Genomic DNA, 26,866 nt, shown 5'->3' on the forward strand with positions numbered 1-26,866 from the left:
AGTCTTTCAGAATCTTGGATGCCACCACCATAGCTGTGATTCAGGTGATCATCAGTGATATGGGTTGGCTGTATTCCCATTCAAATCTCAACTTGAATTGTATCTTCTAGAATTCCCACGTGTTGTGGGAGAGACCTAGAGGAGGTAATTGAATTGCATCATGGGGATTGGTCTTTCCCATGCTATTCTCGTAATAGTGAATAAGTCTCATGAGATCTGATGAATTTGTCAGAGGTTTCCACTTTTGTTTCCTCCTCATTTCTCTCTTGCTGCTGCCATGTAAAAAGTGCTTTTGCCCTCTGCAATTATTCTGAAGCCTCCCCAGCCATATGGAACTGTAAGTCCAATTGAACCTCTTTTTCTTCCCAGTCTTGGGTATGTCTTTATCAGCAGCATGAAAATGGACTAATATAGGAAATGGTTACCAGTAGAGTGGGATGTTGCTGAAAAGATACCTGAAAATGTGGAAGTGATTTTGGAACTGGATAACAGGCAGAGGTTGGAACAATTTGGAGGGCTCAGAAGAAGACAGGAAAATGTGGGAAAGTTTGGAACTTTCTAGAGAACTTTCTAGAGACTTTCTTGAATGGCTTTGCCCAAAATGCTGACAGTGATATGGATGTTAAGGTCCAGGGTGAGGTGGTCTCGGATGGAGTAGAAGAACTTGTTGGGAACTGGAACAAAGGGGACTCTTGTGATGTTTTAGCAAAGTGACTGGTAGCATTTTGCCCTTGCCCTACAGATTTGTGGAACTTTGAACTTGAGAGAAATGATTTAGGGTATCTTGTGGAGGAAATTTCTAAGCAGCAAAGCATTGAAGAGGTGACTTGGGTGCTGTTAAAGGCATTCGGTTTTATAAGAGAAGCAAAGCATAAAAGTTCAGAAAATTTGCAGCCTGACAATGTGATATAAAAGAAAAGCTCATTTTCTGGGGAGAAATTCAAGCCAGCTGCAGAAATTTGCATAAGTAGCAAGGAGCCTAATGTTAATCCCCAAGATGAGGGGGAAAATGTCTCCAGGCTATGTCAGAAAACTTCACAGCAGCCCCTTCCATCACAGGCCCAGAGGCCCAGGGGGAAAAAGGGGCTTCGTGGGCTAGGTCCAGAGTCCCTGTGCTCTGTGCAGCCTGGGGACATGGTGCCCTGTGTCCCAGCTGCCCCAGCCATGGCTGGAAGGGGCCAACATACAACTTGGTCTGTGGGTTCAGAGGGTGGAAACCCCAAGCTTTGGCAGCTTCCACGTAGTGTTAAGCCTGCGGGTGCAGAGAAGTCAAGAACTGAGGTTTGGGAACCTCTGCCTAGATTTCAGAAGATGTATGGAAATGCCTGGATGCCCAGGCAAAAGTTTGCTTCAGGGGTGGGGCCCTCAGGGAGAACCTCTGCTAGGGCAGTGCAGAAGAGAAATGTGGGGTTGGAGCCCTCACATAGAGTCCCTACTGGGGCACTGCCTAGTGGAAGAGGGCCATCATCCTCCAGACCCCAGAATGGTAGATCCACCAACAGCTTGCACTGTGCACCTGGAAAAGCTGCAGACACTCAATGCTAGCCCGTGAAAACAGCCAGGAGGGAGATTGTACCCTAAAAAGCCACAAGGGTGGAGCTGCCTAACACCATGGGAACCTACCTCTTGCATCAGCATGACCTGGATGTGAGAGCTGGAGTCAAAGGAGATCATTTTGGAGCTTTAAAATTTTACTGTCCACTGGATTTCAGACTTGCATGGGCCCTGTTACCCCTTTGTTTTGGCCAATTTCTCCCATTTGGAATGGCTGTATTTACCCAATACCTGTACCCTCATTGTAGCTAGGAAGTAACTAGCTTGTTTTTTATTTTACAGGCTCATAGGTGGAAGGGACTTGCCTTATCTCAGATGAGACTTTGGACTGTGGACTTTTGGATTAATGTTGAAATGAGTTAAGAGTTTGGGGGGGATGTTGGAAAGGCATGATTGGTTTTAAAATGTGAGGTCATGAGATTTGGAGGGGCCAGGGGCGGAATGATATGGTTTGGCTGTGTCCCCATTGAAATCTCAACTTGAATTATATCTCCCAGAATTCCTACATGTTGTGGGAAGGACCTGGGGGAGGTAATTGAATCATGGGGAGTGGTCTTTCCTGTCCTATTCTCATGATAGTGAATACGTCTCAAGAGATCTAATGGGCTTATCAGGGTTTCTGTTTTTGCTTCCTCCTCATTTCTCTCTTGCTGCCACCATGTAAGAAGTGACTTTCACTCTCCGGCATGATTCTGAGGCCTCCCCAGCCATGTGGAACTGTAAGTCCAGTTAAACCTCATTTTCTTCCCAGTTTTGATATGTCTTTGTCAGCAGTGTGAAAATGAACTAATACAGTCAGTGACCAAATAAAGCTATGAATGTATTGCATAGAGGTAACAAAGTGTGAAATGCATCTGTAGGACTATTCTACTAAGGTTAGGAACTGCTGAGGAACTTGGTGGGTTTGGGCTTGGAATGGGGACTACTTTTCTAAGATGGCCAAAATATTTGGGGACAATTATCTGGGGAGAAAGTGGAAAGAAGGTGGGCCAGGCACTTGACCTCTGATTTTTGGACACATAAATCTCTAAATCATCTGAGTTTCCGTGAGGATATACATAAAATGGAAGTAATAATGCATACCCCTGCTGCATTTTGGTGAGGTTTAGAAGTAATTTATTTATAAATACCTAGCTGAGTGCTAGGTACACAAGAAACACTTAATAAATTATAGCTATTAAGATCATAAATGTTTTTCAGATTTGCTTAGAAATGGCTATACAGTAGGGCTATACAGTAGGCAGTTCAGTAAAGCCCAAATAAAGGGCTTGTAGAGGGTTAGAGTATTACCATATTAATGTACTGTAAACTAAAAAGTATTTGAGACAAGTCTCAATCAATTTAGAAGTTAATTTTGCCAACGTTAAGGACATGTCTGTGACACAATCTCAGGAGGTCCTGAGAACATTTACCCAAGATGGTTGGGTTATAGCTTGATTTTGTACATTTTAGGGGGACAGAAGTTACAAGCAAACATTAATCAAATCAAACCGTAGGTGGACTCAAAGATTTTCTGATTGGCAACTGATTGAAAGAGTTAAGTTGTTATTTAAAGACCTGAAATCAATAGAAAGGAATGTCTGGGTTAAGATAAGGGGTTGTGGAGACTAAGGTTCTTATTACGCAGATGAAGTCTCCATGTAGCAGGCTTCAGAGAGAATAGTTGGTAAATGTTTCTTATCAAACTTTAAAAGGTGCCAGACCCACCCCACAGCCACAGTCCACAGGCACACCACTGCTCCCTGAGGCAGCCTTGGCCCTGGCCTGGGCTAGGGCAAAATTAGAGAATTTTAAAATTTTGGGAAAATGGCAGATAGGAGGCAGGACTAACTTGCAGCTCCCACTCAGACAGACAGAGAAGCGTGTGGAGACCCATATCATGAACTTTTGCTCCAATAACTACTACAGGAACATACCAGGAAAGCCAAGATAATCCACAGACCCTTTGAACTTCAACTTCAGGCTCCATGGGACAGCCAAGGAACTCCAAAGACAAAGAAAATAACTTCTTGGGAGCTCTGTGGCCCCACCCACCTCCTGATCCTCCCTGTACTGCCACAGCTGATGTGCTCTTGAAAGCACCACCTCCTGGCTGAAGGCCAACCAACACAAAACCAATGCAACACAACAAAAATACTACCAAGCACCTCACAGAGTCCACTTTACTCGCCTGCTACCTCCACTTGAGCAGGTGCTGGTATCCATGGCTGAGAAACCTGAAGATGGATCACATCACAGGACTCTTTCCAGACACTCCTCAGTACCAGCTTGGAGTCTGGTAGCTCTGCTGGGTGGCTAATCCAGAAGAGAAATAACAATCACTGCAGTTCAGCTCTCAGGAAGGCCTAAATCTAGGAGAAAGTGCAGAGCACTATGTCAAAGCAGCACCCGGTGGGACAAAATAATCTAAACAACAGTCTTTGAGCCCCAGATCTTCCCTCTGACATAGTCTACCCCAATGAGAAGAAACCAGAAAAACAATTCTGGTAATATGACAAAACAGAGTTCTTTAACACCCCCAAAAGATCACAGTAGCTCAACAGGAATGGATCCAAACCAAGACAAAATCTCTAAATTGCTAGAAACAGAATTCAAAAGGTTGACTATTAAGCCAGTGAAGGAGATACCACAGAAGGGTGAAGTCCATCTTAAGGAAATGAAAAAAGTAATATAAATGGAAACATCTCCAGTGAAATTGATAGCCTAAATAAAAAACAATCACAACTTCTGGAAAAGAAGGACACACTTAGAGAATTGCAAAATCCATTGGAAAGTCTCAGCAATAGAATTGAACAAGTAGAAGAAAGAACCTCAAAGCTTGAAGACAAGGGTTTTGAATTAAGCCAATCCTACAAAGACAAATAATAAAGAATAATAAAAAAAAATGAACAAAGCCTCCAGGAAGTTTAGGATTATGTTAAACAAGTAAACCTAAGAATAGTTGGTATTCCCAAGGAAGAAGAGAAATCTAAAAGTTTGGAAAACATATTTGAGGGAATAATAGAAGACAACTTTCCCAGCCTTGCTAGAGATCTAGACATCTAAATACAAGAAGCTCAGAGAGCACCTGGGAAATTCATTGCAAAAAGATCATCACCTAGGCACACAGTCATCAGGTTTTCTAAACTCAAGACGAAGGAAATAGTCTTTAGAGCTGTGAGGCAAAAGCATCAAATAACCTATAAAGGAAAACCTTAACAGATTAAGAGCAGATTTCTCAGTAGAAACCCTACGAGCTAGAAGGGATTGGGGTCCTATCTTTAGTCTCCTTAAACAAAACAATTATCAGCCAAGAATTTTGTATCCAGCAAAACTAAGCTTCATAAATGAAGAAAAGATAGTCTTTTTCAGACAAATGAATGCTGAGAGAATTTGCCACTACTAAGCCAGCACTACAACAACTGCTAAAAGGAGCTCTAAATCATGAAACAAATCCTCAAAATACACCAAAATAGAACCTTCTTAAAGTGTAAATCTCACAGGACCTATAAAACAATAATAATAATAATAAACTACAAGGTATTCAGGCAATAAATAGCATGATTAACAGAATAGTACCTCACATCTCAATATTAATGTTGAATGTAAATGGCCTAAATGCTCCATCTAAAAGGTACAGAATGGCAGAATGGATAAGAATTCACCAATCAAGCATCTTCTGTCTTCAAGAGACTCACATGACACATGACTCACATAAGGAATTACATAAACTTAAGGTAAAGGGTTGGAAAAAGATATTCCAGGAAAATGGACACAAAAGCAGGCAGGAGTAGCTATTCTTATATTAGACAAAACAAACTTTAAAAGTACAGCAGTTAAAAAAGACAAAGAGGGACATTATACAATGGTAAAAGAACTAGTCCAACAGGAAAATATTTCAATCCTAAATATATACGCATCTAACACTGGAGCTCCCAAATTTATAAAACAATCACTACTAGACCTAAGAAATGAGATAGATGGCAACACAATAATAGTGGAGGACACTAGACAGGTCGTCAAGACAAAAAGCCAATACAGACACAATGGATTTAAACTATACCCTAGAACAAATAGACTTCACAGCTATTTACAGAACCTTCTACTCAACAACTGCAGAATGTATATTCTATTCGTGAGCACATTGAACAGTATCCAAGATAGACCATATGATAGGCCACAAAACAAGTCTCAACAAATTTAAGAAAATCAAAGTTATAGCAAGTACTCTCTGTGACTACAGTGGACTAAAATTGGAAATCAACTCCAAAAGGAGCCCTCAAAGCCATGCAAATACATGAAAATTAAATAACCTCCTCCTGAATGACCCTCGGGTCAACAATAAAATCAACATGGAAATTAAAAAATTCTTTGAACTAGGCCAGGTGTGGTGGCTCACACCTGTAATCCTAGCACTTTGGGAGGCTGAGGCGGGCAGATCACTTGAGATCAGGAGTTTGAGACTAGCCTCGCCAACATTGTGAAAACCTGTCTCTACTAAAAATACAAAAATCAGCTGGGCATGGTGGCAGGCACCTGTAATCCCAGCTACTTCAGAGGCTGAGGCAGGAGAATTGCTGGAACCTGGGAGGTGGAGGTTGCAGTGAGCCGAGATTGTGCTATAGCACTCCAGTCTAGGTGACAGAGTGAGGCTCCATCTAAAAAAAAAAAAAAAAAAAAAAAAAAAAAAAAAAAATATATATATATATATATATATATATATATATATATATATATATATATATATATGAACTGAACAATAATAGTGACACAACCTATCAAAACTTCTGGGGTACAGCAAAGGCAGTGCTAAGAAGAGAGTTCATAGCATTAAATGCCTACATCCAAAAGTCTGAAAGAGCACAAATAGACAATCTAAGGTCACACCTCTAGGAGCTAGAGAAACAAGAAAAAACCAAACCCAAATGCATCCGAAGAAAAGGAATAACCAGGATTAGAGCAGAACCAAATGAAATTGAAACAAGCAAACAAAATATAAAAGAGAAATAAAACAAAAAGCTGGTTCTTTGAAAAGATAAGTAAAATTTATATACCATTAGAGAGATTAACCAAGCAAAGAAGAGAGAAGATCCAAATAAGCTCAATTAGAAATGAAACAGGAGACATTACGACTGATACCATAGAAATACAAAAGATCATTCAAGGCTACTATGAACAGCTTTATGTGCTAAACAAGAAAACCTAGAGGAGGTGGATAAATTTCTGGAATATACAACACTCCTAGATTAAATCAGAAAGAAACAGAAACTTTGAACAGACCAATAACAAGCAGCGAGATTGAAAAAGTGATTAAAAAGTTACCAACAAAAAAAGTTTAGGACCAGATGGACTAGCAGCTGAATTCTCTCAGACATTCAAAGAAGAATTGGTACCAATCCTATTGACACTATTCCAAAAGATAAAGAGGGAATCCTCCCTAAGTCATTCTATGAAGCCAAATTGCCCTAATAACAAAATCAGAAAAAGACATAATAAAAGAAGAAAACTACAGACCAACCTTCCTGATGAACACAGATGCAAAAAATCCTCAACAAACTACTAGCTAACTGAATCCAACAGCATATCAAAAAGATAATCTGCCTTGATCAAGTGGGTTTCATACCAGGGATGCAGGGATGTTTTAACATCCACAAGTCAATAAATGTATACACCACATAAACATAATTAAAAACAAAAATCACATGATCATCTCAATAGATGCAGAAAAAGCAGTTGACAAAATCCACCATCTCTTTATGATTAAAACCCTCAGCAAAATGGACATTAAAGGGACGTACCTTAAGGTAATAAAAATCATCTATGACAAACCCACAGCCAACATCATACTGAATGGGGAAAAGTTTAAAGCATTCCCTCAGAGAACTGGAGCAAAACAAGGATGCCCACTTTCACGACTTCTCAACATAGTGCTGGAAGTCCTAGCCACAGCAGTCAGACAAGTGAAAGAAATAAAAGGCACCGAAATTGCTAAAGAGGAAGCCAAACTGTTGCTGTTTGCTGATAACATGATTGTATATCTAGAAAATCCTAAAGACTCATCTAAAAACTTCCTAGAACTGGTAAATGAATTCAGCAAAGTTTTAGGATACAAAATTAAAATACACAGTCAGTAGCTTTGCTATACACCAATAGCAGCCAAGCTGAGAACCATATCAAGAACTCAACTGCTTTTACAATAGCTGCAAAAAAATAAAATACTTAGGAATATACTTAACCAAGGAGGTGAAAGACCTCTACAAGGAAAACTACAAAACACTGCTGAAAGAAATCATAGATGACACAAACAAATGGAAACACATCTCATGCTTATAGATGGGTAGAATCAGTATTGTGAAGATGACCATACTGCCAAAAGCAATCTACAAATTCAATGCAATTTCCATTAAAATGCCACCATCCTTCTTAACAGAACTAGAAAAAGCAGTCTTAAAATTCATATGAAACCAAAAAAGGCCACATAGTCAAAGCCAGACTAAGTAAAAAGAACAAATCTGGAGGCATTACATTACCAGACTTCAAACTACACTATAAAGCCACAGTCTCTAAAACAGCACGGTACTGGTGTAAAAACAGGCATATAGACCAATGGAGCAGAATAGAGAGCCCAGAAATAAAGCCAAACACTTACATTCAACCAATCTTTGACAAAGGAAGCAAAAACAAAAAACAGGGAAAAGACACCCTATTCAACAATGATGCTGGGATAATTGGAAAGCCACATGTAGAAGAATGAAAATGGATCCTCATCTTTCACCTTATACAAAAATCACCTCACGATGGATCAAAGACTTAAATCGAGTCCTGAATCCATAAAATTTCTAGAAGAAAACGCTGGAAACACCCTTCTGGATACTTGCTTAGGCAAAGACTGCACAAGCAAGAACCCAAAAGAAAACACAACAAAAATAAAGATAAACAGACGGGACTTAATTACATAAAAACTTTTGCACAGCAAAAGAAATAAATCAGCAAAGTAAACAGACAACCCAGAGTGGGAGAAAATCATCACAATCTAGACACCCAACAAAACACCAATCTCCAGAATCTACAAGGAACTCAAACAAATCATCAAGAACAAAACAAACAATCACATCAAAAAGTGGGCAAAGAACGTGAATAGATAATTCTCAAAAGAAGATATACAAATGGCCAACAAACATATGAAAAAATGCTTAACATCACTATTTAACAGGGAAATGCAAATCAAAATCAAAATGCGGTATCACCTTACTGCTGCAAGAATGACCATAATCAAAAAACCAAAAATAATAGATGTTGGTGTGGATGTGGTGTAAAGGGAACATTTTTACACTGTTGGTGGGAATGTAAACTAGTATAACCACTATGGAAAACTGTGGAGATTCCTTAAAGAGCTAGAAGTATATCTACCACTTGATCCAGTAATCCCACTCCTCTGTATCTACACAGAGGAAGAAAAGTCATTGTACAAAAAAGATACTTGCACATGCATGTTCATAGCAGCACAATTCTCAATTGCAAAAATATGGAACCAGCCCAAATGCCCATCAATCAATGAGTGGATAAATAAAATGTGATACACACACACACACACACACACACACACACACACACACACCTTGGATGATATGGTTTGGCTGTGTTCCTTCCCAAATCTCACCTTGAATTGTACTTCCCGTAATCCCCATGTGTTGTAGGAGGAACCAGATGTGTGGTAATTGAATCATGAGGGTGGTTACATCTATTGTTCTCATGATAGTGAGTGAGTTCTCACGAGATCTGATGGTTTTAAAAGGGGCTTTTCCCCTTTTGCTTGGCACTTCTTCCTGCTGCCATGAGAAGAAGGACATGTTTGCTTCCCCTTCCACTGTGATTGTAAGTTTCCTGAGGCCTCCAAAGCCCTGCAGAACTGAGTCAATTAAAGTTCTTTCCTTTGTAAACTACCCAATGTTGGGTAGTACTTTATGTTTGTCCTGTTAAATTAAATCTGGTCAGATTTGGCCTATTGGTGCAGACAGTTGTGACCTTTTTGTGATCTAATTCAGTTATTTACCATTAATGGCATTTCCTACCTTCAAATTGTCTGAAAATTTGATCACTGGGCCACAAATACCCTCATTCAAGTTGTCAGTAAGAGCTTGAAGTAGTTAGGGACAAGGTCGGTGCTCTGGGGAATGCTTTTGGAAATCTCTGTCCGCGGTGACTTTGACTCATAACTCAGCATTCTTTGGGTTTGGTTCTATGTGTACTTTTGAGCAGTCGCTTTATTCATCTTGTCCATAAGGACATCATGACTGCTGAAATGCAGATTTTTAGTACCTATAGCAGTTCTGAGATTTTTACCACATTACGAATCTTAGGAAAAAATGTTTGTCATGAGTGTTCTTGAATTCAGTGTAATTCCTTGTGATCACAATTTTCTAAGTGTTTAATATATTTAAAATAATTCTAGAGATTTTCCTAGAATCAATGGTGGATTTATTTGCCACCCATTTTGTTTTATATAATTTATATTCTTCCCTTTGTTGAAAATCAGTGGGGGAAAAGATATTCTCCAGATTTCTGGCACCTGTTCTCTTTTCTGTGGGATGCCATTGCTAATCTTAGAAAAGTTTCAGAAAAAGGATAAAACTGGAAACCAGATTTCAAGGTGCTGAGTTAATTAGAGGGGAATAAAAGCTGGATCTTAGGTTTAATAATGCTTTTCCTTAATATGTACAAAGCATTTTTGTGTTTTGAGTTCAGCCATAAGAATACAAACTTCAGTCCGTTAGGAAATTTATGTGTAGAGAACCCTTTGGCCAATTCCTGGCACTTCTCCTTTCCGTCAGATGGTTATATTTCACAATAGCACAATTTATTGAATTTGGCACATTGTCATCTTTTTTTTTTTTTTAACATGAATACAAATCATGCTGTTTCAAATATCTCTTTGACAATTACAATTGCCTGGAAATGTAAGATTATCAGAAAAGGTACATCATAAGAGTTGTACCTAATGAAGAATTTTAACTATTAGTCTTCTAAAGGTTATTATTTCAGTCTTTTATTTCTTTTATTAATCTAGTACACATTTATTAAACATTTCTTTTGTATTATGAGTGATACTAAGTCTGTATGTGTGAAAGTAATTTTGTTTTTTTTCCTTTTTTTTATTATTATTTTATTTTATTTTATTATTATTATACTTTAAGTTTTAGGGTACATGTGCACAATGTGCAGGTTAGTTACATATGTATACATGTGCCATGCTACTGTGCTGCACCCATTAACTTGTCATTTAGCATTAGGTATATCTCCTAATGCTATCCCTACCCCCTACCCCCACCCCACAACAGTCCCCAGAGTGTGATGTTCCCCTTCCTGTGTCCATGTGTTCTCATTCTTCAATTCCCACCTATGAGTGAGAATATGCAGTGTTTGGTTTTTTGTCCTTGTGATAGTTTACTGAGAATGATGATTCCCAATTTCATCCATGTCTCTACAAAGGACATGAACTCATCATTTTTTATGGCTGCATAGTATTCCGTGGTGTATATGTGCCACATTTTCTTAATCCAGTCTATCATTGTTGGACATTTGGGTTGGTTCCAAGTCTTTGCTATTGTGAATAGTGCCACAATAAACATACGTGTGCATGTGTCTTTATAGCAGCATGATTTATAGTCCTTTGGGTATATACCCAGCAATGGGATGACTGGGTCAAATGGTATTTCTAGTTCTAGATCCCTGAGGAATTGTCACACTGACTTCCACAATGGTTGAACTAGTTTACAGTCCCACCAACAGTGTAAAAGTGTTCCTATTTCTCCACATCCTCTCCTCAATCTTTTATTCTTAAAGGGTAAGAGGCTTGTGAGAGGTTTACTTAGTTCCTGCACTCAGCTTTGGTTTGACCAAATGCATAACTGAGCTTCTCTTTATCATTCTGAGACTCAGCTGCAGCAACACTAGAGTTGGCAGTGTTGGCCGAGTACCTCTTCCTAGTACTGTACGAGATATTTTAATTCACATTTTGGCAAGAGGAGATTCCAGCATCTGCTGATTGAAACCCAGGATTCAGGGACCTGAAATGGATTATGTAGCCCGTTTCTAGTACAATGTTAAAACAGATCACTCCAAGTCTAGAAAGTTTTGTATTATCTGGGCTGCTTTTTTAAACACCAAGATCAAAGTTAACCCTATAAACATTCCTTACATTATGGCACAGATGTCTTTGTGAAGAGTTGGTAGAAATTGAGTAGAAGACTGGATTATATTTTATAGGAACTCTGGTGACTTACTTATAAGTTAAAGGTATGCTATTAAGATCTTTATTTTGTTTGAAAGAACACTCTCTAATATATCTTCTGTGTAGCTGTGGATTTTTATTTGATAATTTTTCTTAAAATAGATTTTTTTAAAGTCACCTGACTCTGCTTCTTTAAGACAGACTATAAAAACAACGGAAACCGGGCACGGTGGTTCATGCCTGTAATCCCAGCATTTTGGGAGGCTGGGGTGGGTGGATCACCTCAGGTCAGGAGTTCGAGACCAGCCTGGCCAACATGGTGAAAACCCGTCTCTACTAAAAATACAAAAATTAGCTGGGTGTGGTGGCGGGTGCCTGTAATCCCAGCTACTTTCAGGAGGCTGAGGCAGGAGAATTGTTTGAACTTGGGAGGCGGAGGCTGCAGTGAGCCGAGTTCGCGCCATTGCACTCCAGTCTGGGCAACGAGCGAAATTCTGTCTCAAAACAAACAAACAACAAAAAACAATGGAGCACTCTGGAAGTCAGCTTTTTAGGACCACATGCTGTGACATCTGACACTTGGCATCCTTAATGTTGAGGGCACTTTCTTTGGGAGGTACATTGGCCTATTTCTAAGAAAAATATATATCATAATTATTGTATAAAACAGTTACTGATCTTTTTTTTTTAAAGATGGTAGTAAGTTGAGAAAATTCAAGTAAACATTAAGTAAACTTTAAATATTAAGTAAAGCTTTATTTTAAAAGCTGTTAGAAGTTTCTTTTCTGGCTGTTTAGATAATGCTGGGTAAAGACATTATTTTACAATAAGTAAGTGATTTGAAGAGAATAAAATGATATATTTGGTATAATCAACATTAATGCAATCATAAATAATAGAAAACTCTCATGTTTGGAACACATAGTTTAGATTTTAAGGTAATTTGAATATATCATGTGTGATTACTTAGAGATCAACTATTCTCAGCCCTGGCTGTGCATTAGAATTACTGAGGAACATTTTAAAAATACTGATGTCTGGGTCTCACACTCGGAGATTCTGATTTAATTTGGGAAGTGGATCAGACTCTATATTCTCAGAGATCCATGGGGAAATTCTAATGTATAGTCAAAGCTGGGAACCACCAGTATAAAACCTTGCAACTTAGAGTGTGGGCCATAGACAGTGTTAGCCTCACCTACAGCTTATTAAAAATACAAACTCTCAGGCCCCACCTTAGACTTTCTGAATCAAAGTCTGCATTTTAAGGTGAGGTAAGGTAGCTGACACCTGTAATCCCAGAACTTTGGGAGGCTGAGGTGGGCAGATTGCTTGAGGTCAGGAGTTCGAGAGCAGCCTGGCCAACATGGTGAAACCCCGACTCTACTAAAAAAAAATACAAAAATTAGCCAGGCGTGGTGGCGGGTGCCTGTAATCCCAGCTACTCAGTAGGCTAAGGCAGGAGAATTGCTTGAGCCTGGGAGCAGAGGTTGCAGAGAGCTGAGATTGTACCACTGCACTCCAGCCTGGGTGAGAGTGAGACTCCGTTTCAAAAAACAAACAAACAAGCAAGTCTGTATTGTAACTAGGTTGCAGATTCATTTGCAACATGTTTTTCATAGCACTTTGACTTTAAAAGTGCTTTCATAGTCATTTTTCTGTTCATTTGTGTATTTTGTGTGTGTGTAGGGGGGGTCCATTTATTAAGTATCTGGTGGGAGTGGACACTGTTGTAGATACTGAGAAACATAAAAGTAGGAATAAGATTTGGGCCTCCCTTTCAAGTAAGTTGCAAAGGAGTGGGGTGGAGGTGGGGTAGAAACAGATCTGGTGAGCAGATTGGGACCAGAGATGTAAAACAGCTGTGCTATGGAGCTATTGATAGCCTTTTGGGAGGAGAAGGAACAGGGGATACCCCTCCCTTCTCTACCCCATCTTCACTCAGGGAGTGGGATTTGAGCTGAGTTTTTCAAATAGAAGTAGGCATAGGACTGGTGGTTCCTAAAATGTGATTCCTGGCCAGCAGCATCTGCATCCCCTGAGAACATGTTAGAAATGCCATTTGTTGGGCCCTTTCCAGACTTAATGAATTACAAACTGAGGGTAGGGACCAGCCATCTGTTTTGTATTTTTTTTTTAACATGCCCACCATGGGGGGGAGGGTGGGGGGGGATTATGATACACATCACCCAAGTTTGAGAACACTGGATGCAAGCATTTTCCATACAGAGAAGAGAGGAAGGAGCATTGCACACCATTGAAAAAGTATCCCCCAAATCAGAGGAAAGGTCATTTGTAGCATTCTGTGAAGTTTGTCATGGCTTGAACTTAAAGTAAGTTGAACATAGTAAGCTGACTATACTAGGAATTTCCCCCAAATTTTGCTCAGATCCATGTATTTTTATTGTTCCGGAAAGCTTAATCTTTCCCTTTTAGGTCATTGGATCATTAATTACATTTAAAGAAAAAGCTTTGTGTTTGGTTGTATTTATTTATTTTTCTGAAAATTAAATTATGAAGTTGGCTGAACACTTTTTTTTATAATTGGAATGTTATAACTAGAAGATTTCTGTAGAAATGCATGGGAAGACTGAAGCATAGGGACATCCCTATTTGCCTTTAAATAAGCCTAGTTTAAATGGTCTTTCTTGGAGTGTAGCTGAATTTACATTGTCTGTGATCTTCTGTGATAGAGTGAATCCATATGAACCAAAACCTCCAGGTCCAAACAACTTTAATAATGTTAGTTTTTCCCATTTATATATTTTCTTGTCATAATAACCAGCATAGAGCAAACATTTTTTACTTTCCTTTTTCTCCTTCTCAAGTTGAACTGCTAATTGGCACCTTGGAGGCCAACGGGGGTCACCGAAGGGAGGAAAAGGGCTGGATAATGAATCAGGAAATAGGGTTCAAAGGGAATTCCCATTCCAGTGCTGGAAATAACCATAGAGATCACACAATCCAGCCTTTTCACATCAGAGGCCTCTGAGAGCTTAAATGAGTTGCCTAGGGTCACATTGTAATGTAGGAGCTGGAAACAGAAACCATGTTTCCCAACTCCTTGCTGAGTGTTCTTTCTACTGCTTCATAGATAGAGGTAGACTGTATCCTCATGGGGAAACACACACACTATGTGGGTGTTGCTGTAGAACATAATGATTGATTTTTCCCTTTGCCATGTGTAAGGGGCTAGTAATAGACCAGATCTCATCCAATTTGATAGCTTTAACTATATGTAAGGTACATGGATGTTCTTTGGTCAAGGTTAGGCCAAGGCAGACATCCAGGCCTGCATGATTCAGTGGGTTTAGGGTGCAGGCTCATACTCCATTTGTTATCACCTGTTTGTGTAAGTTCATTCTTGGCTTGGAGCTGCTGTTGTCTTTAAAAGGTATAACTGCCCGGCTGACAGTATTGCATGGGGCTTGGCTCTTAGGCATGGCTCAGCATGGCTCTTGTACTGGTGCCCAGAGAAACAGAGAGAGAACCAGAGCTGTCTTTCTTGTGGATGGACAGAGGGGAGCCAGGTCATGGCTTGGCTTGTCTCTCGTGCCCAGGGAAACAGAGAAAGAGTTAAGCTGCTGACCCTGAAAGCAGGGGAGAACCGGCTGTGCAGCTGTGTGTGTGGGAGCAGTTCAGAGCAAGCAGCCGAGACAGGGAGGACAGTGCGAGAGAGACAGTGTAAGTAAGCTGCTGATGAGAAAGCTGTTGATGAGAGCTGCTGCTGAATAAAATCATCTTTCACCTGCCTAAGGCTCCCTGAGTGTTCTTTCTCTTCATCCATCTACTCTCTTTGGACCTCAACATGACAATTGGCATAGTCATGAACCTGACACTATATATTGGTTGTTATGTCCCAAATCATCTTTGAAATGAATTAAAGTGTGAATAGATAATAAAAAGCAAATAAAATCAATCAACCCAATACTGACTTCCCTACTAAGGCCAAGGTTATATATCTAATAGCCTCCTGAACAGGTGTACCTGGACATTTCATATAGGCATTAAAAAATAAACATTTCCCAAATTGCATATTTACTCACCTAAAACTTGCCCCCCACCTTTAGATTCTGTCATTGTTTACTCAGAACCTTGAGAATCATCCTCAACTCTTCCTTTTTCTCTCACTTCACATGTACACTCAATCACTAGCTTTGTCAATTTTATCTCCTGTCAACCTTAGCTCTTAAACAGTTTTCAAGTCCAATGTGTTCTCATCACTTGCACTTCCACTGCCCTAAATCAGTCCACTAATACCCCTTATCTGGTCTATTGCAATGGTCTTCATCCTGGTTTTTCCTCCTCCAGGCTTGTGGTTGAAAGTTTCTCTTTCATACTGTTTTCAGCATGATCTTTCTAAAGCGCAAAGCAGACCACACCATAGCCTATTTTACAATAACCCTCCATCACTGATAAGACAAAACTTTAGAATGGCACAGACAACTCTATAATTTGACCTCTGCTTATAACGTTATGTCCATCTCTGGTAACTCTTATCTATATACCCATGTCCATCAAGATGAGACTACTTGTAGCTACCAAAACATCTTATTCACCAACTTATTTGACTGCCTGGTGAAAGCTTGTTCATTCAGAACACAACTCAGACATCACCATTTCATTGACATTGTCTCTGACATCTCCCCACTTTCCTCCAAAGCTAGAGTGAATTGCCTTCTCTGTACCTCTGAGCCTTACACATCTTTACACTTGCATATAATTTTCTTCAACATTTTATGAGGAAAATTTTCAAGCAGAAAAGTTGAAAGAATTTTGCAGTGATCACACAATTAATGTTTTATTGTGCTTACTTTGTCACATCTCTCTCTCTATCCATCAATCCACGTTTTTAGAAAAATGCTTTTCAAAGTAAGTTGCAGATATCGATATACTTTTTTCCAAATAACTCAGAATACATATCACTCAGAGTTCCTACATAACATATAGAGTTCTATATTTGTTTGTAATTCTTATTTTAAAATTTCATGTTAAATTTATGTACAATGAAATGTGAAATGCACAAATCTTAAGTGTACCATGAGATTCACTAAATCATACATGTGAGTAACCTACACACCTATCAAGATATAGAATATGACCCTGACCCTGAAAACTGTACTCAAGCCCCTTTCCAGGAAGTCTTCTCTTCTAGAGGCAGTGACTATTCCAATTTTCTTCCAACTAGTTTTGCCTGTTATAGAACTTTATATAAATTGAACTGTACAGTATATTCTCTTTCATGTAAGACTTCTTTTACTCAGCGTAATGTTTTTGAGATACATAGGTTGTATGTATCAGTACATTTTTTTTTTTTTTTTTTTTTTAAGATTCAGGGTCTCACTCTGTCGCCCAGGCTGGGGTGCAGTGGTGATCTTAAGTGTACCATGAGATTCACTAAATCATACTGTGTCCAAAATTGGTGGGTTCTTGGTCTCACTGACTTCCAGAATGAATCCGCGGACCCTCGCGGTGAGTGTTACAGTTCTTAAAGATGGTGTGTCTGGAGTTTGTTCCTTCTGATGTTCGGACGTGTTCGGAGTTTCTTCCTTCTGGTGGGTTCGTGGTCTCACTGGCTTCAGGAGTGAAGCTGCAGACCTCCGTGGTGAGTGTTACAGTGCTTAAGGCAGTGCGTCTGGAGTTGTTCATTCCTCCCGTCTGGAGTTGTTCATTCCTCCCAGTGGGCGCGTGGTCTTGCTGGCCTCAGGAGTGAAGCTGCAGACCTTTGCAGTGAGTGTTACAGCTCATAAAGGCAGTGTGGACCCAAAGCGTGAGAAGCAGCAAGATTTATTGCAAAGAGTGAAAGAACAAAGCTTCCACAGTGTGGAAGGGGACCTGAGCGGGTTGCCACTGCTGGCTGGGGCAGCCTGCTTTTATTCCCTTATCTGGCCCCATCCACATCCTGCTGATTGGTCAGTTTTACAGAGAGCTGATCGGTCCGTTTTACAGAGAGCTGATTGGTGCGTTTACAATCCCTGAGCTAGACACACATTGCTGATTGGTGTATTTACAATCCTCTAGCTAGATGTAAAAGTTCTCCAAGGCCCCACTAGATTAGCCAGACACAGAGCACTGATTGGTGTGTTTACAAACCTTGAGCTAGACACAGAGTGCTGATTGGTGCTTTTACAAACCTTGAGCTAGACACAGAGTGCTGATTGGTATATTTAAAATCCTTCAGCTAGACATAAAAGTTCTCTAAGTCCCCACCAGATTAGCTAGATACAGAGTGCTGATTGGTGCGTTTACAAATCTTGAGCTGGACACAGAGCACTGATTGGTGCACTTACAATCCTTTAGTTAGACACAAAAGTTCTCCAAGTCCCCACCAGATTAGCTAGATACAGAGTGCTGATTGGTGCATCTACAACCCCCCCTCTCCCACTAGACACAGAGTGCTGATTGGTGCATATACAATCCTCCCCTAGACATAAAAGTTCTCTCAAGTCCCCAACTGACTCAGGAGCCCAGCTGGCTTCCCCTAGTGAATCCTGTGCTGGGGACACGCTAGCAGAGCTGCCTGCCAGTCCCGCGCAGGCACGCCCACACCCCTCAGTCCTTGGGCAGTGGATGGGACCGGGCGCCTAGGAGCAGGGGGCGGCGCCGGTCGGGTAGGGTCGGGCTGGCGGGAGCCCGGGGCGGGGCTTGGGCATGGCTGGCTGCAGGTCCCCAGCCCTGCCACACGGGGAGGCGGCTGAGGCCCAGCAAGAATTCAAGCTCCGCGGGGGCAGGCCAGCAGTGCTGGGGGACCCGGCGCACCCTCCGCAGCTGCTGGCCCGGGTGCTAAACCCCTCACTGCCCGGGCCGGCGGTGCCGGCGGGCTGCTCTCAGTGCGGGACCTCGGAGCCTGCGCCCACCCGGAACTAGCCGCGTTCAGCCCTGGTTCCCGCCCCCGCCTCTCCCGCCACACCTCTCCACAAGCAGAGGGAGCTGGCTTCAGCCTCAGCCAGCACAGAGAGGGGCCCCCATAGCGCAGTGGCGGGCTGAAGGGCTCCTTGAGCATGGCCAGAGTGGACGCCAAGGCTGAGGAGGCGCCGAGAGCCAGTGAGGGCTGCTAGCATGTTGTCACCTCTCAATACATGTGAGTAACCTACACACCTATCAAGATATAGAACATTACCCCCACCCCGAAAAGTGTACCCAAGCCCCTTCCCAGGAAATAATCTCCTTTAGAGGCAATGACTATTCTGATTTTCTTCCAACTAGTTTTGCCTGTTATAGAACTTTATATCCATTGAACTGTACTCTTTCATGTAAGACTTCTTTTACTCAGCATAATGTTTTTGAGATACATAGGTTGTATGTATCAGTAATTTTTTTTTGTTTGCTTTTAGATTCAGGATCTCACTCTGTCACCCAGGCTGGGGGGCAGTGGTGCAGTCATAGCTCACTGCAGACTTGAGCTCCTGAGCTCAAGGAATTCTCCTGCCTCAGCCTTTCAAGTAGCTAGCACTGCTGGTATGCATCACGACCTCTGGCTAATTTTTTATGTTTTTCAGTAGAGACAGGGTTATTATTATTATTATTATTATTTTGTGACAGATTCTCACTCTGTTGCCCAGGCTGGAGTGTGGTGGCACGATCTTGGCTCACTGCAACCTCCGCCTCCTGGGTTCAAGTGATTCTCCTGCCTTAGTAGCTGGGACGACAGGCGTGTGCCATCACGCCAGCTAATTTTTGTATTTTTAGTAGAGACAGGGTTTCACTATGTTGGACAGGCTAGTCTCGAACTCCTGACCTCAGGTGATCTGCCCGCCTCGGCCTCCCAGAGTGCTAGGATTATAGGCGTGAGCCACCTCATCTGGCAGGGTCATTATTTTTTAAAAGTCTTTAAATTACCAAGTAATATTCCATTGTATAGATATACTAAATTCTAAAAATCCATTCTTCAGTTGAAGCACACCTGGGCTGTTTCCAGTTTCTGGCTATTGTGAACAAAGCTACTATGAATATTCCTGTGAAGGTCTTTTTGTTGATACACACACGCACACACTCAATTATATGACTGATATTTTTGGGTCATAGAATATTTACATTTAGTTTTTGTTTTTAAAAAAACTGCTGTACTTTTCCCCAAAATGATTATACCATTTACACTCCCACCAAAAATCTGTTGCTTCATATCTTCATCAATATTTGGTATTGTGTGAGTTTTAAATTGTAGACATTCTGGTGGATGTGTAATAGTGTTTCATTATGGTCTCATAAAATTTTGGTTTACTAGTCTTTCTCTGCAGACTTTGAACTTCCTGAAGACAGACATTTTATTCATATCTTCTGTACCTAATAATGTCTGATATAGAGTAGGGCTCAACAAATATTTGTTAAATTGAACTGATCTGAATTGAATCCTTCTGTACGTAGCAAATAAAAAAACCCACTTCTTTCCTCACTTTATCCCTTTAATCAAAAGGCAGGGTGAGGTTTTTTTTTTGTATTGCTTTGTTTTGTTTTTGAGACTGGGTCTCACTATGTCGCCCAGGCTGGAGTGCAGTGGTGCAATTATGGCTTACTGCAGCTTTGACCTCCTGGGCTCAAGTAATCGTCCCACCTCAGCCTCCTGAGTAGCTGGGACTACAGGTAAGTGCCACCATGCCTGGCTAATTAAAAAAATTTTTTTTTCAAAGACATGCTCTCGCTATGTTGCCCAGGCTGGTATTGAACTCCTGATCCCAAGAAATCCCCTCACCTCATCCTCCCAAAGTGCTGGGATTACAGGCATGAGCCACCATGCCTAGCTAGAATGAGCTCTTCTGTTATAAGCAGTAACATTTAAATTAAGATTAGGGTGCTATCCACCTGGAGTGATTTGGGGCTCAAAGCATCTCTTTCCCTAAATATTTGTTCCATTGCTCCTCTTTTTATTTATTTTTAATTTTTTATTTAATTTTATTATTACTATTTTTTGAGATGGAGTTTTGCTCTTGTTGCCCAGGATGGAGTGCAATGGCGCAATCTCGGCTCACCACAACCTCTGCCTCCTGGGTTCAAGCGATTCTCCTGCCTCAGCCTCCCGAGTAGCTGGGATTACAGGCATGCACCACCACAGCCAGCTAATTTTTGTATTTTTAGTAGAGATGGGGTTTCTCCGTGTTGGTCAGGCTGTTCTCAAACTCCTGACCTCAGGTGGTCCGCCTGCCTCAGCCTTCCAAATTGCTGGGATTACAGGCATTAGCCACTGTGCCCGGCCTATTTTTTAACATTATTGCATTCTTTACACATTTTTCAAATTGACAAGTAACAATCGTTAATATTCATGGGGTACACAGTGATGTTTTGATACATATAATGTACAGTGATCAGATCAAGGTAATTAGCATCCATCATCTCAAACATTTATCATATTTTTGTGTTGGAACATTTAACATCCTCCTTTTAGCTATTTGAAACTGTGATATATTATTGTTAACTTTAGTCATCCTGCAGTGATATAGAACAATAGAATTTATTCCTGCTATCTAGCTGCAATTTTGTATCCTTTAACAAGTCTCTCCCTCTCCATCTCTTCCTCCTACACTTCCCAGTCTCCAGTATCCTCTGTTCTACTTTTCACCTCTATGAGATCAACTTTTTTTAGCTTCCGCATATGAAAGTTAAACACCTTTCTGTTTCTGGCTTATTTCACTTAACATAATGTTTTCCAGTTCCATCCATGTTGCCATGAATGACAGGATTTCTTTATGTGGCTAACTAGTACTCCACTGTGTATATATATCACATTTTCTTTCTTTCTTCTTCTTTTTTTTTTTCTTGAGACAAGAGTCTCGCTCTGTCACCCAGGCTGGAGTGCAGTGGCTTGGTCTTGGCTCGCTGCAACCTCTGCCTCTGGGGTTCAAGCGATTCTCCTGCCTCAGCCTCCCGAGTAGCTGGGATTACAGGCACCTGCCATCACGCCTGATTAATTTTTGTATTTTTAGTAGAGACAGGGTTTTGCCATGTTGGCCAGGCTGGTCTTGAACTCCTGACCTCAAGTGATTCACCTGCCTCAGCCTCACAAAGTGCTGGGATTACAGGCGTGAGCCACTGGGCCCGGCCATATACCACATTTTCTTTATCAATTTCTCTGTCGTTAGACACCTAGGTCAATTCCTTATCTTGGCTATTATGAATAATGTTGTAATAAATATGGGGGTTCAGGTGTCTCTTTGATATAATGACTTCATTTTCTTTGGGTACATTCCCAGCAGTGGGATTGCTGGATCATATGTCAGTTACATTTGTAGTTTTTCTGAGGAAACTCTATACTGTTCTCCATAGCAGTTGTACTAGTTTATATTCCCACCAATAGTATATGAGTTCCCTTTTCTTTACATTCTTGCCAGTGTTTGTTATTTTTTAGTTCCCTGTATATTCTGAATATGAATTGTCTGATGAATGAATAGTTTGCAAATATTTTCTCCCATTCTGGGGGTTGTCTTTTCATTCTGCTGATTGTTTCCTTTGCTGTGCAGAAGCTATTTAGTTTGATATAATCTCATTTGTTTATTTTTGCTTTTGTCGTCTGTGCTTTGAGGTCTTATTTATAAAATATTTTATCAGACTAATGTCCTAAAGTGTTTCCCCTATATTTTCTTCTAGTTGTTTTATTGTCCTGGGTCTTACATTTAGGTCTTTGATCCATTTTCAGTTGATTTTTGTACAGGATAAGAGGTGGAGGTCTAGTTTTATGCTTCTTCATACAGATATACAGTTTTTCTGGGATCATTTATTGAAGAGACTGTGCTTTCCCCAATGAGTGTTATTGGCACCTTTGTCAAAAATCAGTTGACTGTAGATACGTGGATCAATTTCTGGGGTCTTAATTTTATTCAATTGGTCTATGTATTTGTTTTTATATCATGTTGTTTTGATTATTTTGAGATCTGGTACTGTGATACTTTCAGCTTTGCTCTTTTTTTGTGCAGGATTATTTTAGAAACTTGGGCTCTTTTTTGGTCCCATACAAATTTTAGATTTTTTTTTTTTTCTGTAAAGAATGTCATTGGTATTTTCATAGGAATTGTGTTAAATTTGTAGATCTTTTTGGGGTAAGTATTGTCATTTTAACAATACTAATTTTTCTGGTCCATGAGCATGGCTTGTCTTTTTCATTTGTTTATGTCTTCTTCAGTTTCTTTCATCAGTGTTTTGTGGTTTTCCTTGTAGAGATCTTTCACCTCCTTGGTTAGATTTATTCCTAGGTATTTTATTTTATTTTATTTTTGGTAGCTATTGTAAATGAGATTGCCCTCCTGTTTTTTTTTTTTTCCAGATAGTTTGTTGTTTCTGAAAATAAATGATTTTTGTTTATTCTGTATCCCACAACTTTACTGAATTTGTTTACTGGTTCTAAGAGTTTTTTTGTAGAATCAATCTTTTGGTTTTTCTATATATAAGGTCTTATCATATATAAACAGGGACAATTTGACTTCTTTCTTTTCAATTTGGTTGCCCTATGTTTCTTTCTATTGCCTAATTGCTCTGGCTAAGACTTCCAGTACTATGTTGAATAAGAGTAGTGTGCATGGACAACCTTTTTTTGTTCCAGTTCTCAGAGGAAAAGTTTTCAACTTTTTTCCACTCTGTAAGGTGTTAGCTGTGGGTTTGTCATATACAACCTTTATTATGTTGAGATGCTTTTCTTCTATACTTAATTTATTAAGCAGTTTTATCATGAAGGGATATTGAATTTTTTTCAATTTTTTTCAGCATCTATTGAGATGATATGTTTTTTCTTCTTCATTCTATAGATATGATGTATAATATTTATTGATTTATATATATTAAACCATCCTTGTATTCTTATGATAAATCTCACTTGCTCATAATGTATTTATCTTTTTGATATGTTGTTGGATTCAGTTTGCTAGTATTTTGTTGAGGATTTTTATGTTTATATTCATCAGGGATATTGGCTTACAGGGAGTTGGCTTATATTTTTGTTGTGTCCTTGTCTGGTTTTGGTACCAAGGTTATGCTGGCTTTGTAGAATGAGTTAGAAAGAATTCCCTCTGCTTCAATTTTTGGAAATGCTTTGAGAATAACTGCTATTATTCTTTAAAGGTTTGGCAGAATACAGTGGTGAGGGCACCTGGTCCCGAATTTTTTTTTTTTTTTTTTTTTGAGACACAGCCTCCCTCTGTCACCCGGGAAGTGGTATGATCTCGGCTCACTGTAACCTCCACCTCCTAGGTTCAAGTGATTCTTCTGCCTCAGCCTCCTGAGTAGCTGGGATTACAGGCGTGTGCCACCACACCCCCCTAATTTCTGTTTTTTTAGTAGAGACAGGGTTTCACCATGTTGGTCAGGCTGGTCTCGATCTCCTGACCTTGTGATCCGCCTGCCTCAGCCTCCCAAAGTGCTGGGATTACAGGTATGAGCCACCGTGCCCGGCCTGAACTTTTTTTTTTTGGAAGATTTTTATTACTGATTCATTCTTGTTACTTGTTATTGGTCTTCTGTTCAGGTTTTCTATTTCTTCTTGGTTCAATCTTGGTAGATTGTATGTATCCAGTAATTTATCCATTTTTCTCTAGGTTTTCAAATTTATCTATTAGTGTGTAGTTGTTCATTGTAGTCTCTGATGATCTTTTTTTTTTCTTTCTTTCTTTTTTTTTTGAGACAGAGTCTCGCACTGTTGCCTGGGCTGGAGTGCAATGGCAAGATCTCAGCTCACTGCGACCTCCGCCTCCTGGGTTCAAGTGATTCTCCTGCCTCAGCCTCCTGAGTAGCTGGGATTACAGGCATCTGGCACCATGCCCGACTAATTTTCTGTATTTTTAGTAGAGATGGGGCTTCACTATGTTGGCCAGGCTGGTCTTGAACTCCTGACCTTGTGATCCACCCACCTCAGCCTCCCAAAGTACTGGGATTGCAGGCGTGAGCCACCATGCCCAGCCTCTGCCGATCTTTTCTTTTTCTGTAATATCCATTGTCATGTCTCCTTCTTCATTTCTAATTTTATTTATTTGAGTCTTCTCTCTTTTTTTCTTAGTCTAGCTAATGGTTTGTAAATTTTGTTTATCTTTCCCAAAAGCCAACTTTTTGTTTCATTAAACTTTTTAATTTTTTTATTTTTGTTATTCTCAATTTTGTTTATTTCTGCTTTGATCCTTATTCTTTCTATTAATTTTGGATTTGGTTTGTCCTTGCTTTTCTAGTTCCTTGAGGTGTATTGTTATGCTATTTATTTGAAATCTTTCTAGTTTTTTGATGTAGGCCTTTATTACTATAAACTTCCCCCTTAATACTGCTTTTGCTGTGAGCCCCATAGCTTTTGGTATGTTGTGTTTCTATTTTCATTTGTTTCAAGAAATTTTAAATTTTTATTCTTAATTTCTTACTTCACTCATTGGTTGTTCAGGAGCATGTTGTTTAGTTTCCATGTATTTGTATAGTTTCAAATGTTCCTCTTGTTATTGATGTCTAGTTTTATTTCATTGTAGCCAGATAAGATACTTGATATGATTTGGATTTTTAAAAATTTTCTGAGACTTGTCTCAGAATGTGTCTGCCTGTCCTAATACATGATCAATCCTGAAGAACGTTCCATGTTCTAATGAAAGAAAAAAGTGTATTATTCAGCTGTTGGGTGAAATGTTCTGTAAACGTTTGTTAGGTCCATTTGGTCAATGTTACAGTTTAAATTTTATGTTTCTTTGTTGATTTTCTGAGAGAAAATTAGAGTGTTGACATCCTCAACTATTATTGAATTGGGGTCTATCTTTCCCTTTAGATCTAATGATATTTGCCTTATAAATCTAAGTGTTCTGGTGTTGAGTGCGTATGTATCTACAGTTATTATATTTTCTTCCTGAAGTGATCCTTTAGTTATTATATAATATCCTTCTTTGTCTCTTTTTACAGCTTTTAATTTGAAGTCTGTTTTGTTTGATATAAGTATAGCTACTCCTGCTTGCTTTTGGTTTCCATTTGCATGAAATATCTTTTTCCATCTCTTCACTTTCAGACTATGTGTGTCTTTATAGGTGAGGTGAATTTCTTGTAGGCAGCATATATTTGGGTCTGTTTTTTTTTTAATCTATTCAGCCAGTCTATAGCTTTTAAGTGGGAAATTTAATCCACTTACCTTCAAGATTATTGTTGATAGGACTTATTTCTGTCATTTTATTGGTTGTTTTCTGTTTGTTTTGTATATCTTTTGTTCCCTACTTCCTCTCTGATCATTTATTTTTTTTGGTTGGGTGGTTTTCTGTAACAATAAGGTTTGATTCCTTTCTCCTTCTCCTTTGTTTATCGCTCTACAAGTGAGTTTTATAGTTTCACAGGTTTTCATTATGGTGGTTGTCATCTTTTCACTTTCAGATGTAAGGCTCTCTTGAGCATTTATTGCAAGGCCAATCTAGTGATGGTGAATTCCCTTAGTTATGCCTTGTTTGTGAAAAGTTTTATTTTTCCGTCATTTCTGAAGCATACCTTTGCTGGGTAAAATATTCTTGACTGGCAGCTTTTTTTTTTCTTTCAGTATTTTGAATATAGTAATATCATCTCATTCTCTCCTGGCCTGTAAGTTTTTTGCTGAGAAATCCACTGTTAGTCTAATGGGAATTTTTTAGTATGTGACTTGACATTTTTTTCTTGGTGCTTTTAAAATTATTTCTTTGTCTTTGACTTTCTAAAATTTGACTCAAATTTGGCTCAGATAGGAACTGTTTATGTTGAATCTATTTGGGTTTCTTTGGGCTTCCTGGAACTGGATATCCATCTCTTTCCCAAGTCTTGCAAAGGTTTTTGTTATCATTTCATTAAATATGTTGTTCTTCTGTTTTTCCTTCTCTTCTCCTTCTGGAATGCCAAATATTTGTTTGCTTAATGGTGTTCCATAAATCTTATAGGTTTTCTTCATTCTTTTTTTATTCTGTATGCCTGTGTTATTTCAAAAGACCTGCCTTCAAGTTCTGAAATTCTTTCTTCTGCTTGGTCTGGTTTGTTGTTGAAGCTCTCAATTGGTTTTTTAAATTTCATTCATTGAATTATTTGGCTCTAGAATTTCTTTTTTGTTCTTTTTTATGATATTTATTTCTTTGTTGAATTTCTCATTCAAATCATTTTTCTGATTTCATTGTTTTGTCTATTTGTATTGTCTTTTATCTCACTGAGCTT

At 39.5% G+C, this 26,866-nt stretch overlaps 1 long non-coding RNA gene across 5 annotated transcripts in view, besides 1 other annotated feature; it reads left to right on the forward strand.

The window, feature by feature from the left end:
• The window catches only part of LOC105370502 (uncharacterized), a 73,457-nt gene that overhangs the window by 30,197 nt on the left and 16,394 nt on the right, over positions 1-26,866 (forward strand). For 3 of the 5 annotated variants that reach the window (XR_001750965.1, XR_007064169.1, XR_007064170.1), the window contains exon 4: positions 2,220-2,259. The exons of 1 other annotated variant lie outside the window; for it this stretch is intronic. This is a non-coding gene — a long non-coding RNA (uncharacterized LOC105370502). Of the gene's footprint in view, positions 1-2,219; positions 2,274-26,866 lie in introns of those variants that run through there. One more of the 5 variants, XR_001750966.2, reaches the window with a different exon arrangement.
• Positions 18,281-18,700: a silencer, noted in NCBI's record as "silent region_5753". NCBI's record gives its function as "represses an Ori minimal core promoter by ATAC-STARR-seq in GM12878 lymphoblastoid cells {active_cell/tissue: GM12878}" and the evidence as "EXISTENCE:reporter gene assay evidence [ECO:0000049][PMID:35858748]".

Source organism: Homo sapiens, chromosome 14, assembly GCF_000001405.40.
Source record: "Homo sapiens chromosome 14, GRCh38.p14 Primary Assembly".
Lineage (NCBI taxonomy): Eukaryota > Metazoa > Chordata > Mammalia > Primates > Hominidae > Homo > Homo sapiens.